General features: G+C 35.5%; 1 protein-coding gene across 5 annotated transcripts in view; it reads right to left on the bottom strand.

The window, feature by feature from the left end:
• Window positions 1-16287, bottom strand: part of SPAM1 (sperm adhesion molecule 1) — a 46174-nt gene that overhangs the window by 15863 nt on the left and 14024 nt on the right. For 4 of the 5 annotated variants that reach the window (NM_003117.5, NM_001174044.2, NM_153189.3 and 1 more), the window contains exons 2-4: window positions 5569-5680; window positions 1028-2187; window positions 466-555 (exon numbers count right to left, since the gene is read on the bottom strand). In NM_003117.5, coding sequence (NP_003108.2) covers window positions 466-555; window positions 1028-1981 — 1044 coding nt within the window. In that variant the 5' untranslated portion in view covers window positions 1982-2187; window positions 5569-5680. Of the gene's footprint in view, window positions 1-465; window positions 556-1027; window positions 2188-5568; window positions 5681-7763; window positions 7849-16287 lie in introns of all 5 variants that reach the window. The other variant, NM_001174045.2, reaches the window with a different exon arrangement.

Below are 16287 nucleotides of genomic sequence, written 5' to 3'. Positions count from 1 at the left end.
TCATCATTGGTATTTCCACAACCACCAGAGAAGAAAAAATTCAGCTTCAACTCAGCAATGTCCATACAACAGCTTTCCTATTGAGTCAACAAGGTTGATGAGGTGGGGGATAAAGATCTGATATAGAGAATTAAACAAGAGTAAAGGAACAAGGACCTATCTTCTGACACAAAACACCATGCCATAAAATTGAGATTGTAGTCCTGTTTTTGCTTCTTAATAGTCATGTAGCCTAGAGAAATTCAATTATTCACTAAATTTCTATTTCCCCACTGGAAAATGGGTATACTATTTTCTGCCTTACAACCACCACACAAATGTATTTTGATTCAGCCAGTATTAATTGAGCACCTATTACTACATGCCAAGCATAGTACTACTTATTTTCTTATTTAATACCAAAACAATCCCCAAAAACATTAAACATAGAAATATTTTCACCTATTTTCTACCAATTCAACTTACCATACTTCGCATTATACTGAGGGTTCCCCATATTACAATTCCAGAAGCACCCAGAGCAACAGTTTCGCCAAATGTATACACAAGTTCATCCTGGAAAATGTGACAGAAAGAGTTAGCAGATAAAAATGAAATGAAAGTGCTATACATAGGACAGCAACGCAAAAGCTAAGCATGCTGACCCAATAATAATAATTTTAATATTTCCCCACTATTTCTATCTCTTACACAGCCATTGCCTTACTATAAAACAAATAAGATACTATTATTGTTTCAATCACTTCTATTGAAAAGAGACGAGGCCTAAGAAAGAAAAAAAAAAGAAACTGAGTTCATACACTGTCTATACTACCTAATTCTCCCGGCTTACTAAGAGATAAAGAGATTACATTAAAGATTAAGCGTATTCTTGTTTTGCATTCATATAATAATGTTGATCTACTTGTGTACACATTCCTGACTAATATTAAAAGCTAGATTTCACTCCCTTCAAAAATAATATTAAATTTCAATCAACATCTTTTGTGAATTTCATTTCCTAGCCCTCATACCCTGATTTACTTACTTGAGAAAGGAATTTCAAAACTTGATCAGTAAAAACTATGCGGGTATATGCAAAAACCGGAAGTGGACTTTTTGCATCAGGTATTTTGGAAACTCTGATGGCTTCCCGAACTCGATTGCGCACATAGAGTGTAGCAGCTACAGGAGACTGCTGAGTGTTCAAATAAATGGATGGGTAAAGAGCAGTGCTTTCATTCCACAACCAGCTGAGATCATCATTTCTTTTTATTTCTACATTGAAGCAACTTCCATTGTAACCGGGTTTCTTATAGTGATGGTTGTAACAATCCGGAAAAAGATAATAACCCCACAAGTGATTTGGCCGAAGTAATTTTCCCAATTTTATAGTCTCTACCAGGAAATCCTTCCCTGCCTTTTCAAATTCTTGTTTTGCTTTCTCAGTGGCCTCTGTGAGACTAAGTTGTACATTTTGTTGCTGAACCAATTCAATAGACCTATTCTTGTAAACATCTTTAGGTTTCCAGTTTCTTGCCCAAGTGGGTCTCCATTCTTCCCAGTCAATAACAGCCATTCCCAAATTGTCTACTGGCATATAAAATGTAATGTCTTTCTTAGCTTTGTCCAGATGGTCTTGTAAGGAAATCTTCTGGGGGATTCCTCCATTCACAGTTACTCCTGTGATTGAATCTATGTAAGGATAGTAGCCAAGTCTATCAACATAAAATATTGTAACACCTTGCCCGGTGGCGTTTATTCGGGGGCTTCCTATGAAAGAGAAGAGGCTCATATCTAGTGGCTCATCAAATTTTCCAAGACAAAATTCACTTGGGGCATTCCAGGCCCAGAGGAAAGGCACATTTGGAATAACAGGAGGTGCTCTGAAATTCAGAGTCAAGCAACATGGAATCAGAAGGAAGGTGAAAACTATCTGGGATACTCCACTTGATTTAACAAAGCTTCTGAAAAAGATGTGCTTGAATTTTAGCACTCCCATTGTAAAGAGTAATGACTATGAAAACATTTATTTCTTCCTACACACTTTGGTTTACCCAATATCTGATGCAAAGTATGAGCACAGATGAAAGGGAATGGAATGAATTCACTTTGATGGATAAAGAGGTATAATGATTAAGTTACATTTAAATATTATTATTCTTGTTTCATGTTTCAGGATTGTTTTTCAAGTTGCATCACCTATAACTGAAAAAGAAATACAGAATACATTGTTATGATGCATTTCATAATAAAGAATGTAAGCTTCACCAAGTTCTCAACTTTAAGTGCAGGGGGTTTAATTTCATTTTAGAAGATGGAGGATCTACTCCTGTGTTTGAATCTATGAAATTATTTCCTCTCATGTATGATACAAACTCTATACTAGTTAACATTTTTCTCATCTTCCCAAATCACTACTGGGCCTACAGAGAGGAGAATGTAGCTATTTTCCTTTTGCCTTTCTGGTTGTACAGAATGCTGTACCAAGCAATGCCTTAGCAAAATCCCATTGAAGGAAAATAAATTCCAAGTTGATCCTCTCATTCTGTTTCTTGCTTCTTGAAAGACCACTTTCTAGCGGTCTGCCATATACTAAAACAACCTTTCATAGAATTGTGAAATTTCATTTTTCTCTTTCTTTCTTTTTTTCTCTTTTTTCACTTTTTTTTTTTTTTTCAAAGGGGAGCAAACTCACTTCTGCCAGAAGTAGTAAATCAACAGTTTGGTTGAATTTATTGAATCAACCAAAAACTTCTACCAAACAAGCTGAAAGGCTCCTTGGTACGCTGCTCGATCACATCTTACAATAATGTACTCCCATGCCTAAAGTTAATAAAACATTTTACTACTTTGTATTTTCTACTAAAAGGATCAGTTCTAGCCTAACTTAAGAAAAGCAATATGTAGATTTTCATCTTTTTATAGCATTTGATAAGTAAGATTGTGTTGTGATTCTGATTGTGACAAAGTGAAGTGTTGTAGCACATACTTTAGCTGTATTAAACCACAAAAGTGGTACAATAAAATGGTCTGGGCAAAGGTCAAGAAATTAAATTATGTATATACTCAGCATTTAGTATTTGCAAAAATTACCTGCAAGAAGATATAGTTAAATGTTCTGTGATTCTAGGAGGGAATTGGAAACTTTCTTTTTAATTAGATTAGTAGTACACTGCTATATGAAATTATAACAAGAATTATACTATTCTTCCCAGGAACATGTGTCCTTACCATAGCAAATTATCCAGTCATTCCCATTGCTGAAAAATAAATGACTCTAAAGAGATCACCATAGTCAGAATAAAATAAAATCATAAGGACTATTATAGTCTCATGTTTTGAAGATAATGAATTTTCCCTCATGTTTAGAACATATAAAGTAGCTAAATATTCTTGTAGTTTAAATATTTATAAACTTCTTTATTCAGGACCTAGATAATCTTCACCTAAAATAATATTAGGGGGAAAAACTAATTGCTTTTAAATACCAACCATCAATACTAATGCCTGAATGGCAGGGACAGGGAAAAGGAAATGGAATAAAGGATTAGCTTTCCCTGTATCTCAGGGAAGGAGTAAGCTAACCTTATTGAAATTAACATTTAAATCTATTTCCACGTGTTCATTTTATGTAAGAAAAAGATGGGGAGCTGGGCATGATGGCTCATGCCTGTAATCCGAGCACTTTGGAAGGCCAAGGCAGGTGGATCACCTGAGGTCAGGAGTTTGAGACCAGCCTGACCAACGTGGTGAAACCTCATCTCCACTAGAAATACAAAAATTAGCCAAGCATGGTGGTAGGCTTCTGTAATCCCAGCTACTCAGGAGCCTGAGGCAGGAGAATCACTTGAACCTGGGAGGCAGAGGTTGCAGGGAGCTGAGATAGCACCACTGTACTTCAGCCTTGGTGACAGAATGAGACTCTGTCTCAAGAAAGAAAGGAAAAAGAAAAAGAAAAACATGGGGCAGAATGAGCCTATTGAGAACGTCTCTACCCATAGAAGTCTTCAAAAAAGAATGGACACTTCTATGCTTGAAATTTTACTCAATGAAATATTTTTCCTCAGCATAAATCTAATGCAAAGCCTTGGAACAGAGAATTGGCACAAAATTGAGGATTAGACCTAGAAGTTAGCATCAAGAATAACGTCTTCTTTTTGTTTGAAGTATCTAATAGAGAACTTTACCTGTTTACAGAGAAAAGCTGACATTTGCCTAGACAGACTAAGTTATTAGACAGACTAATTTATGACTAAGACCCCAAAAGCAAATGCAACAAAAACAAAAATGGAACAAACTGGACTTTATTAAACTAAAAAGCATCTGCACAGCAAAAGAGATCATCAACAGAGTAAACAGACAACCTACAGAATGGGACAAAATGTTTGCTAATTGTGCCTATGACAAAGGATTAATACCCAGAATCTATGAGGAACTCAAACGAAATTGAAGAAGAAAACAAACAACCCAATTAAAAAGTGGGCAAAGGACACTAACAGGCATTTTTCAAAAGAAGACATACAAGAGGCCAATAAATGTATGAGAAAATGCTCAACATCACTAACTACCAGAGAAATGCAAGTCTAAACTGCAATGAGATATCATCTTACACCAGTCAGAATGGCTATTACTAAAAAGTCAAAAAAAATGTTGTCATGGATGCAGAAAAAAGGACACACTTATACACTTCTGGTGGAAATGTAAATTAGTACAACCTCTAGGGAAAACAGCATGGAGATTTCCCAAAGGACTAAAAATAGAACTACCAATCATCCTCGCAATCCCACTATTGGCTATCTACTCAAAGGAAAAGAAATCGTTATATAAAAAAGACAGCTTCACTCAAATCTTCATTGTAGCACTATTCACAAGAGCAAAGTCATGGAATCAACCTAAGTGTTCCTCATTGGTGGATTGGAAAAAGAAAATTTGGTATATATACACTATGGAATACTATGCAGCCATAAAAAAATAATAAAATCATGCCCTTTGAAGCAACATGGATAGAGCTGGAGGTCATTATCCTAAATGAACTAACTCAGACACAGAAAAATACTGCATGTTCTCACTTTTAAATGAGAACTAAACAATGAGTACTCATGGACATAAAGATGGAAGCAGTAGACACTGGGCACTCTGAAAGGGAGCAGGTTGGGAGGGGGATGAGGATTGAAAAATTACCTATTGGGTACATTGGTCACAATCTGGGTGATGGGTACACTAGAAGCCCAAACCCTACCATTATGCAATATATTCATGTTACACACTTGAACATGTAACCCTTAATCTAAAATAAAATTAAATTTAAATGTCTTTTAATGAAAAAGATACTATTACAAAATAAAAAATAAATACATAGGTACCCTAATAGAGAACCTTATCCTCCCGGAAAATCTTAACTAATTTAACCCCAGGTAATAATGCCTGACCTTATCTCTCCACTAGTATTCCTAAGCTCTATATTCAATTTACACCTATTAAAGTTGCATTTTTAAGTGTCTTCCTTGCTCATTGTGCAGATAATTCCTTCTTAAAGCACTTCTGCTAAGTCTTTGCTATCCCCCAAACCCAAACAATGACACTTACCCAGAAGTCTGCTTTCAAAATCCAGCCACCCAATGTCTCTTCAGTAGTTATCAAGGCAAGAAGTTGGCTGGTCTCAATGTCTTCCTAGAGCATTGGCTAGTCATTAGCATCCCTTTGAAAAAAAAAAAAGATTATTTTCTCTCAAAATAGATTTAGAAACTTAAAATTCTGAATATATCTAAAATTCTACTTAAGCTCTTATTCCTGTTGTAAAGGCGTTTTATCACTGGAACACATGCTAGCTAAATCCTTTGAACTAGGAATCCCTTGTCTAAGGATAAGTTCAAAATGATTTTGTAATAAAAATTATGTAGCTACGTGTAGATATTCACATGTGTAGTATTCACCACTATGTATTGTAGCATCTATGAAATGAAAAAAAATAAAAAGCAAATTCAATACCCAATTGATAAGCAATACCAATGATAAGAAATGCTTAAATACGGTATTTCATCCTGAAAGAATGTATGCAGATATCAGAACTAGTTACAAAGATAATGATGCAACATGTAAATAAGTTTGCCTAAAATACAAAGTGAAATAAAATACAAAAATACACACAGTTGAAGTATACAAAAACATGTAAGTGCATGCTTAAGGAATTAAAAATATTCAAAAATATGAAAGAATATTTGTATTTTCTGAGTGTCCATTATGTATTTCTGATCTTCTAATTTTCTTTCATCCAACTATCATACTGTTTCTCAAATAAAAAGTGGAAACAAATACAATTTTAATGTTAGAAAATAGTTTGCCAGAACAAACTTGAATCTCAGCTTCCCTTCAGTGAGGAAAGACAAATAACCATAAACCTCTCCACACATTATCTACCAGGATGCTTGTACAGGGGATTCTTGTTCTTGTACAAGGAAGAGGAGTTGATGATTGAGAAATTTTTTTTCAAATAAATTTTACTGAGTATATTTAAGGTATACAACATGATGTTATGGGAAGATTAGGATTTTTGAGGTAAGGAGAGGAGAGTATCAGACAGGAAAAAAAAAAAAAAAGAGCCAAATTTCTTGGCTTAGTCCTCAGCTCTTCTTTTCCACAACAAACGCTTTATTTCCATGATAAATGCTTTCTCTCTAGAGAATCATAACAGATATAGAAGTCAGTCAAGACACTGCCTTCAGAATCTACCTTTTGGAATTCCCATTTCCTGTGAGTTTATGTATATATTATCTCAATGGAATTAAGAACTGAATTTAGATACAATCCTCTTACCATTAAAATTGTTATAGATTTTGAATATAAATTATTATCATAAATATTTTTAAAAATTCAGAAATATGGACAAATATTGAAAAAGGCAAGACTATAACTTTGGTGAAAGCAAACCATAACATTACCAAAGGGGGAGGACCAAAGGGAGTCCCAAATCTAAGTCATTCACAAGGCACCTCCTCAGTCTCCATTTCTCTACAGACCTCACTCAAAACTACTAAACTTTGTTACAATACTGAAAATGGCCTCCAGCCTCAGGAAGCCTCAGGATACTGAGATAATTTTAGTGTTCTAAATTACTTCTGTACATAATGTGGGAATCATTCTTTAACATGAAAAATGAAAAGCAAATTTCCACATGAGCGGTAGGCCCCAAGTTGATTGCCCTCGTATCCTCATCACATTTGGTAGGTTGTGTGGCATTTCCAAGGTACATAGTTCATAAGTCCAACCCAAAGGCTGACTAATACCTCCAGTTACAAGTAACAGTGACTCCAAGCTAAGAATTTTAAGGAAACTTTTAAGAGACCAGCGTAATATCCCTGAAAGCACATATTTTCTCCTAAAGCAAAAATATTTACAAGTATTTTCACGAATGAAAGGAGCTTTTGTGTAAGATTTTTTTTCTAAGAAACTTCTTAAACTATTGTTTTTTATAAATATATTGACCAGAAATAGATAACTTGATTCAACAAGATAAGTTAATCCCATTTTAGGTGAAATTTCATCAACTCTTTTTTCCTTCCCCTTTATTATTATTGTCAAATTATTCCTCTCCTTTGGTTCTTTCCAGCCTCGTCTTAACTTTCCCAGTGTCACCCAGATATGTTTTGAACAAGCCAGAGATTCTTGAGGCTGAAGAAACTGCTCAAAATGTGGCACATTACAGAACTTTTTATCTTTTTTTACAAAACAGTACCTGCTTTTTCCTACTAAGCTATGCAGTAGAAAGAACAAAGGCAACTTACTTTTAAAGTAAAAACTGAAAAGTTTTCCTTTAAGATGTGACTAGGTCAGAAGTCACTCCAATCTATTAGCTCTGCAGTATTTAACCTGTTGGGTGAGAAAAGACAGCCCTTTGCCCAGTCAATTAAAGGAAGATTTAATCTTTTGAAATGTTAGTGTGTGAACCTGTCTGTGTGTGTGTGTGTGTGTGTGTGTGTGTGTGTGTGTGTGTGGTGTTTTAATCTCAGCAAATTCAATCTTTGAGACACAATCTCAGTCTGTTGCCTAGGCTGGAGTGCAGTGGCACCATCTTAGCTCACTACAACCTCCAACTCCCAAGCTCAAGTGATCCTCCCACTTCAGCCTCCCAAGTAGTTGGGACTACAGGCGCACACCACCAAACCTGGATAATTTTTAAAATTTTTTATAGAGATGGGGTTTTGTTATGACATCCAGGCTGGTCTGGAACTCCTGGGCTGAAGTGATCTCGCCACGTCGACCTCCCAAACTGCTGGGATTACAGGCTTGAGCCATGCACCTGGACTTATTGCTCAGCATTTGGTTAAATTAATAACATATTTCTCTAGTGTAATACAAATGAAGCATATACTTCATGGAACAGTTTTCAAGAAAATACAGCATTTATTATAAAAGAAAAATAATTTCTCCTTTAAAAATTAACAAAACAAATTAAAATTAACATTTTCAAAATGATAAAACAGGTTGGATATTTTTTATGATAGAAAAATACTACTTTTATGAGTTTTCAAAGGAAAATAAATCTTGAGACCACAAAATCACTAAGCCAAGGGAAACGTCAACCTAGAAACTATGTCAGGCAAACCTGCTTCCCATTTTATTCCTAAATAAGCTAGCTACAAATTCAAAAAAGCTACACACCTACCAAACAATTTGCCCACAAGGAAATGCCTCCTGGACAAAGGACAGACAGAACTCAAAGTCATCCCACTGAGGCTCACCTGAGACATGCGTATCTGATTGCTTCCTCTACCTTATTGTTTATATAAAAATGCAGATTCACTGAACCAGACTAAATTTTGTATGCAGTGGAAGGCTGATCAAGGACTCAAAAGAAGGCAACCTTTTGTCTCTTATCTACTTATAATTTGGAAGCCCCCCACCTCAAGTTGTCCTGCCCTGCTGGACCAAACCAATGTATATCTTACACATACTGACTGATGTCTCATGTCTCTCTCAAATGCATAAAAGCAAGCTGTACCCTAACCTACTTGAGGACATTTGTCAGGACCTCATGAAGCTGTGTCACAGGCACGTCCTTAACCTTGGCAAAATAAACTTTCTAAATGTATTAAGACATATCTCAGATACCTTTTGGTTTACAATTTGGTGACCAATGGAAGGGACTCTGCATGGAGGTAGCTCCTGGACCTTTGACAGATCTCCAACTGGGCTTGGTACCAGCTTGAGCTTCTATGGCCCAAACCAACAGGACGATTTGCTGAGGCCTGGAAGCTTCCCTCCCTCCAGAGAATCCCCAATCACCCAAAATTTGGTTGAGATCTAACGTTTATTTTGCTGTGCAACTCTTTTTCTGAGTTTTACTTGCTTCCAACAAGGAAGGCAAGTTTTTCTGCTTTCATGACAATGGAAGGCAGGTAAATCCTCTCTGTAATTTGAGCTCACTTCCAACAGGGAATTCCAGTTTGAATTTTTTCCTGCTTCTAGGATGGTAGAGAGCTGTCTTCAGCCTGAGACCCACTCCTTGGTAAGTAGCTGAATTGGGATTTTGTCTTGGATAAAGTTGTGATTAACAGTCAGCTGGTCTTAATTCTCCTTACCATTAGAGTGTTCAGTAATCATACTGTTGGGGTTTTTTGTTGTTTGTTCTGGTCTTTCTCTCTGGTCCCAGAGTTGACCAACTCTACCTGACTTGGTCAAATCTGAATAAGAATTACAAATTATGGGGAACAAGGTCTGTCTGAATTAGCTGAAATTCCTCATAGCTACAAAAGAAAGGGGAAAAAAAAAACAGGGGCTTGGTTTCTGTGTTTGCTTTCTGTCTTAAAAAACAACTGTTCTTTCATTTACTTTTCTTCACCCTATTCCTTCCTCCCCTTTCACCATCTTCAATACCAGGGAAAATCTAAAGAGGCTTCTAATGACTCAAACCCCCTAAAGAACTCAGAACACAGGCACCTCTTGCCCCTTTTTGGGGTGTTCTGTTTTCTTTGTAGAGTTTCAAGAGTGATGGGCAGATTCTTCTTAGGTCTAAAGGTCTGCTCTCCTGTATTTGCATAACCTGACCTCTTTGGCTTTAGAGGGTACCAAAGATTACCTTGTACTGAGAGAGGATTTGACCTTGGCATGTGTAATGGTGGACAAAAACTAACAAAGTTAAAGCTGGCTGAGGACAGTTACTGGAAGTGTTCTTCACTTTTTTTTTTCCTCCTAGGAAGCTGTTGTTTAGTATCCTAATTCTAATTCAGAGGTGCATTCTGAAGAATCTTCTTCATTGCCTTTCCTCCCAAAATTAACCTCCCAAAATGTTAAAAGAAGAATACTTTTTGTCTAATTCAAACTTTTTTAAAGGTTATGTATAAAACAAGGTAAGAGTAACCTGGAAATAAGAGAGATGTAAAGAAAGTTATAGAAATAAAGAGGTATTTTTGGTAAGAAAGCTTAAAGAAAAATAATTTTACATGCAAAAGAATCTTATATGGTAAATTTTTGTCCTAAAATAAAATGACTGGTTGTTAAAGAAAGAGGGATGTTCAGGACAACCATGCCCAATGTCTGTGTAAGTCATAATAAGAAGGTTTATGAAAAGAAAAAAAAATTTTATATGATCAAGTTGTCTATATTTAATATTTTTAAAACCCCACTTATACACTAAATAATTGGTTAGAATAATGAGATTTTCTTAAGGTATTGCTTTACTCTTAATAAAATTACAGGACTTTATAATTTTTTTATGCAAAGTTCAACTTTTACTGTGTCTCATTGTTTTCAGGTTTCTCTCCCCTTTTAAAAGGACTGAAATTATAGCTCTGTCCTTCAATTCATTTTCAGCTACTGTAAGTTTTTTCTTTGGGTCATAATTGTTTTGGCCTGATGCTAATAATGTTTTATCTTGAAGGTCTAAAGGAAATGTTTTCTTCCAACATAATATTCTGTGCTCTTGGCTTTAAATTGCTCAGGAAGCACCTCCTATGGCTAATTAATTCAAGTGCCATTCTCATTAGGTCTGACGTGAGGATTATCTAAATGAACTTCCCACAGGGAGCAGCAGTCACATTGCAGAAGTTCTTTTCTTTTGCCTTTTGGTAACTGGGCCTAACAAACAGATTTTACATTTTATCAAAATAATTTCTGTGTCATTATTACTAAGTTTGGGTTTGCTTAGGAAAAAAACTGAGATTAAATTTTTATTTAATTAAGGTTATTACATCCGTGTAACTTTCTGCAGGTGCTTTTACAGTCCTTGTGTCATTGAGTACAGGGCTTTGACTTCTGAGTCTAAAAAGGACCCCAAATCTTGCTAAATCTTAAAAACCGACAGCAGTTAAAGCCTCATTTTCAGACCCAGTAGAAGATGCCAATCAAAATAAACTGTGTTCATGAGATACAGGGCCAGAAACTAAAACTATTCAATTCAAGGCCCAGGGACTATAGCAGAAGAGCTAGGCATGTGAGATCATAAGGGCTGATTTTGAGAAAAAATAAGTTCAGTTTCTCTATAAATTAACCATTAATGTTGAAGGCACGCTGAAGCAAGACCAGAATATGGACTCCTGTGTTAGATTAACAAGGTTTTCTTGGAGAATTAACCCACTTCTTAATAAAAGGTTATAAAGGTTATAAAAAGGCTTATGGAAATTATATCTTATGGTCAAGATAATTAAAGTTTTACAGGCAGTTTATAAGATTTGAGAGACATATTTAACTGACTTCATTCTGTCTTTATTAAGGCTTATTGTTTGGTCTCCTCTCTCAAAGATAAAGGTTTCTGCTTTCGTTTTTTTAATCTTTGAGTTATCACTTTGGCTAAATAAATGACTTACTTTACAATGACTGTAATCCTATTTTGTGATATCAAGGGTTCTAAACATTTTATATTTGAAACACTTTCCAAAATCAAATTCTAATTTTGGTCCTCATAAATTTATTGATATTAGTTCCCTAAAGTTTATAAGAGATATTTGGTTTATTTGATATAATAAAATCATACAGGAAGTATTGTCAAATATGAAAAAATGTTTAACCTTCTTTGAATTATATTTACATAAATGTGTAATTAGTTTGTGTTCCAAAATTGTATGAAATTCCTGTGCTTCTAATACATCTTAGCATATGTTATCAGTAATAATTATGATTATTATGTGAAATTGTTGTATGCCACAGAAGTAACCAATTTTCTTGTAAATTGTGTATTTAACTATGACTGTTCTAAGACTTTTGTCATCTGCAGTTTTATTTTTATCCTTTTCAAAAGGTGGCATTATAACCAGCATAGGATTCTGACGGGTGCACTTGAAGGCAGGTTTCTGATAACTTTGGAGATTGTGACACTAGAATAGAGGGAAAACTTCCAAGATTCTTAAAGAGAGCTGAAATGTTCATGAATATCAAGCAGAACAGGAGTTAACTGCATAGACTAAACCGCATGGAAGACTGAAATAAATCCTTTTATTACTTTTTGCTTAAAATGTTGCTGATCCTTTGTTTATCAGAGGTAAGAAAAACTTTTCTTTTGAAATATTTACAGCTTTTAATAATTGAGTAAAGTATACTCCTACAAACAAAATTTGGAGCATATTTCTCTCTACATGATTTCTCCAAAATTTGGAAACTAGTTGCAAGTATGCTTAACTTATAGCAATATAGTTATTTGCATAAGTGTAATAAGAATTTGTTTTCTTTTGTAACAGGACATAATTGTAGACACTAGTTATTTTACCAAGGTTTTTTACTGGAATGGAATTCTTTCAGATACAGACTCCTTTAAGGAATCAAAGTTGAATTAAAGAGGCAATAAAAGCCCCTTCAGAAAGCTGATCTTATATCTTGTCTACACAGTCCCTGCACAGGTTGCTGACCTGTGGTAAGTAAAGAATGTCACTTTCTGACAGTCCCAGGAGCCCCAAGGTTCCTTGGGACCTTGAGGTGAGGAATTCACTCCATTAATACAGGTATCTGCAGGCACAGGCTGGGCTTAAGGCATTAAAGTCAAATCTGAGAATCCTTATGGAATAAAGTTTCAGCAAAGCCAATTTTTTAAAAAAGAAACAATTATTCTTGCTGATTTTATGCATATACTATGGCCAAGTATAATAAGACTAAAACTTATTTTGCAGCTGAATTTGTCCTTTGACTTGTCTTTAGTGAAAATAGGACTGGAGAAAGAAAAAATGTGTTTCAAACTATCTCAGAGACCTTTGTTTTAAGCTACAGTTTAGAAAAAAGGTCTCTGAGGCAGTAAATAACTGTAGTACACCTGTTGTTAGATTCTAGTCTTGCCGAATATTTTTCAATTTTTATTATTTGGACTGAACTTATAGTTTGGACTGAATTCTAAAATTTTTCCTGACTACCAGTCTACAAAATAATCTATTAAATTTTTTCTTCTATTCCTCTTTTTCCCCATTTTTCCTGATTTGAAATCACTAAAAATTAAGCTGTGCTTTTTTAAAGTCCTGCAAACTGAAGCTAGACAACTTAAACTTTAGAAGAAAATAACAGCAACCTATTTACATACATAAACCACTTTCATACCAGCCTACTGATTCATAGACTTCAGAGTAATAGTGCCTATATCAATTTTCCAGTATTGCTCACTTCTTCGTTTGTTGTTGTTTTTCTCCCTTCCTCTCCCTATTTTCTTTCTGTAGAATGTGAGATTTCACAACCTGCTAAAAATGAGCTTTACTAATAATGTGGGACCTACCTGTCTAGGAATAAACTGCCCTAGCCACAAGGGATGAGACAAAACCTGACACCAGGGACCCATTTTCTTCTAAAATGCTTTTCCTGAAAGACTTTTAAAAGAAAAGGGGAGAATGTGAAAGAAAAATAAACCTTAGGACGCCCAAATCACTAAGCCAAGGAAAAAGTCAACCTGGGAACTATGTCAGGCAAACCTGCTTCCCATTTTATTCCTAAATGAGCTAGATACAAAGGTAAAAAGCTACATACCTCCCGCACAATTTGCCCACAAGGGAATTCCTTGTGAACAAAGGACAGACAGAACTCAAAGTCAGCCCACTGAGGCTCACCTGAGACATGCATATCTGATTGCTTCCTCTGTCCTATTGTTTATGTAAAAATGCAGATTTACTGAGCCAGACTAAATTGTATATTCAATGGAAAGCTGATCAAGGACTCAGAAGAATGCCACCTTTTGTCTCTTATCTACTTATGACCTGGTAGCTCCCACCTCAAGTTGTCCCGCCCTGCCACACCAAACCAATGTACATCTTACACATATTGATTAATGTCTCACATCTCCTTAAAATGTATAAAAGCAAGCTGCACCCCGACCAACTTGGGAACACATTGTCAGGACCTCCTGAGGCTGTGTCACAGGTGTGTCCATAGCCTTAGCAAAATAAATTTTCTAAATGTTTTGAGACCTGTCTCAGATACCTTTTGGTTTACAGAATCCTGCTTTTTAAGATGGGAAGAGAGAGAGGAGGGAGAAAAAGAAGAGCCAAATAAATAATGAAATCCTTCAAGAGCAGTTCCCAAAATAAAATTTTATTTAATTACTCTTTTGAAACATAGAGATATAACTCACACATGTCCAATTTGTACAGTAAACTTGTCCTATTGTAATGGTGTAATTAGGAATTAATATATGTAAGAGACTAGAAAATCACAATCATTAAACATGAATTGGAAATATTGAATCCTTCAGCATTGACTCAATATTTAACATGAATTGGAAATATTGAATTCTTCAGCATTGACTCAATATTTACATTGATGTGTTATAAGAAATATTAGTACTTTCACATTTTAAAAATGCATTATAGGTTCAAGCACCACCATAGCTCATGGCTGTAATTCCAGAGATTTGAGATGCCAACGTGGAAGGATCACTTGAGGCCAGGAGTTTGAGGCCAGTCTGGGCAACATAGGAAGACCCCCATGTTTAAAAAAATAGAAAATAAAAAAGTTAGCTGGGCATGGTGGTATGAGCTTGTAGTACCAGCTACTGGGGAGGTTATGGTTGGAGAATCATTCTAAGCCAGGAATTTAAAGCTGCAGTGAGCTGTGACTGCACCACCACACCCCAGCCCGGATGACAAAGTGAGGCCCCATCTCTTAAAATTAAAAAAAAAAAAAAGCATGGTAAGTCAATACTAATTATGTTGTATTAAAAATAAGAAAATAATTCATCTTATTCTTGGAAGATAATTCCTTTGGGGAAAAAAATGTGAATAACATTTTATGTCCAAAATATCTTTGTAGGTCTCAGAGCTTATTAAAGAATGCATATAATACACCTTTAATTTTAGGATTAGTTTATTGTTCAATTTTCAGAGCCACTCATCAATTGGTACCCAATTGATGCATGCTAAGTGAGTTAATTAGTAAATTATATAAATGAACTTGATATACTTTAAATTTCACTAAACTCAAAATTATGACCAATGGTGACACTTTAAAATGAAGATGTTCAAACACAAACTAAATCCACCAATCAGAAGCCACAGTGCAGTCAAAAAAAAAAGAAGTAAGCAGTAATTACAGCAGTGAAAACAGATTTAATTCAGAAAAAAACAATTGCAATAGGGGAAACAAAACCTCAGTATAATACTGGGCTCAATTCCAAAAACAACAAGGAAAAGTGATAATTTGTAGCCAACGGCAGGGTGGGGATCAGCAGGATAGAAAATTACTAAGAGGAAAGATCTCAGGTAAGGCAGGTTCTGGTGAAAACAACCTAACAGTACTCTTACTGAAGGCTGGCCGGGGTGATCAGACATCTCCTGGGGGGTGACGGAGGATGAGGAACCCCCAAGAGTAATCTGAAATAGAAGATGGGGAATTCTTGCTAAACTGACTTGCAGGTTCTTGCTAGAACTGGACTCTGAAAGGAAGGACACCCAAGCCCAGAGTCTGAAACTTAGACAAAAATAATGCACAAATGAGCCTGATTAGAGTTTGATTAGCAGAAAATCTTTGTCTCTCCTCTTGTGCATGCTAAATTAGTTAATTAGTTAATTAACTAAACGAATTTGATGTCCTTTGAGTTTAAGTAAACTCAAAATTATGGCTGATGATGAAACTTAAAGTCAAAATATTCAAAGAAAAACCAAGCATGTCATCCAGAAGCCACAGAACACAAGCATTATTCAGAAGACTAGTATGTCTTTCGTAGGCAAGCGTAAGGCTGACGCACCCAGATATGATTGAAATGAAGTAATTGAATAAAGACTTGAGGCCGGACACAGTGGCTCACGCCTGTAATCCGAGCACTTTAGGAAGGCCGAGGCGGGCAGATCACGAGGTCAGGAGTTGGAGACCATCCTGGCTAACATGGTGAAACCCCGTCTCTACTAA

Source organism: Homo sapiens, chromosome 7 (assembly GCF_000001405.40).
Source record: "Homo sapiens chromosome 7, GRCh38.p14 Primary Assembly".
NCBI classification, from domain to species: domain Eukaryota; kingdom Metazoa; phylum Chordata; class Mammalia; order Primates; family Hominidae; genus Homo; species Homo sapiens.
Note: the sequence above shows the minus strand (reverse complement) of the source record. Positions and strands in the feature narration are given on the sequence as shown.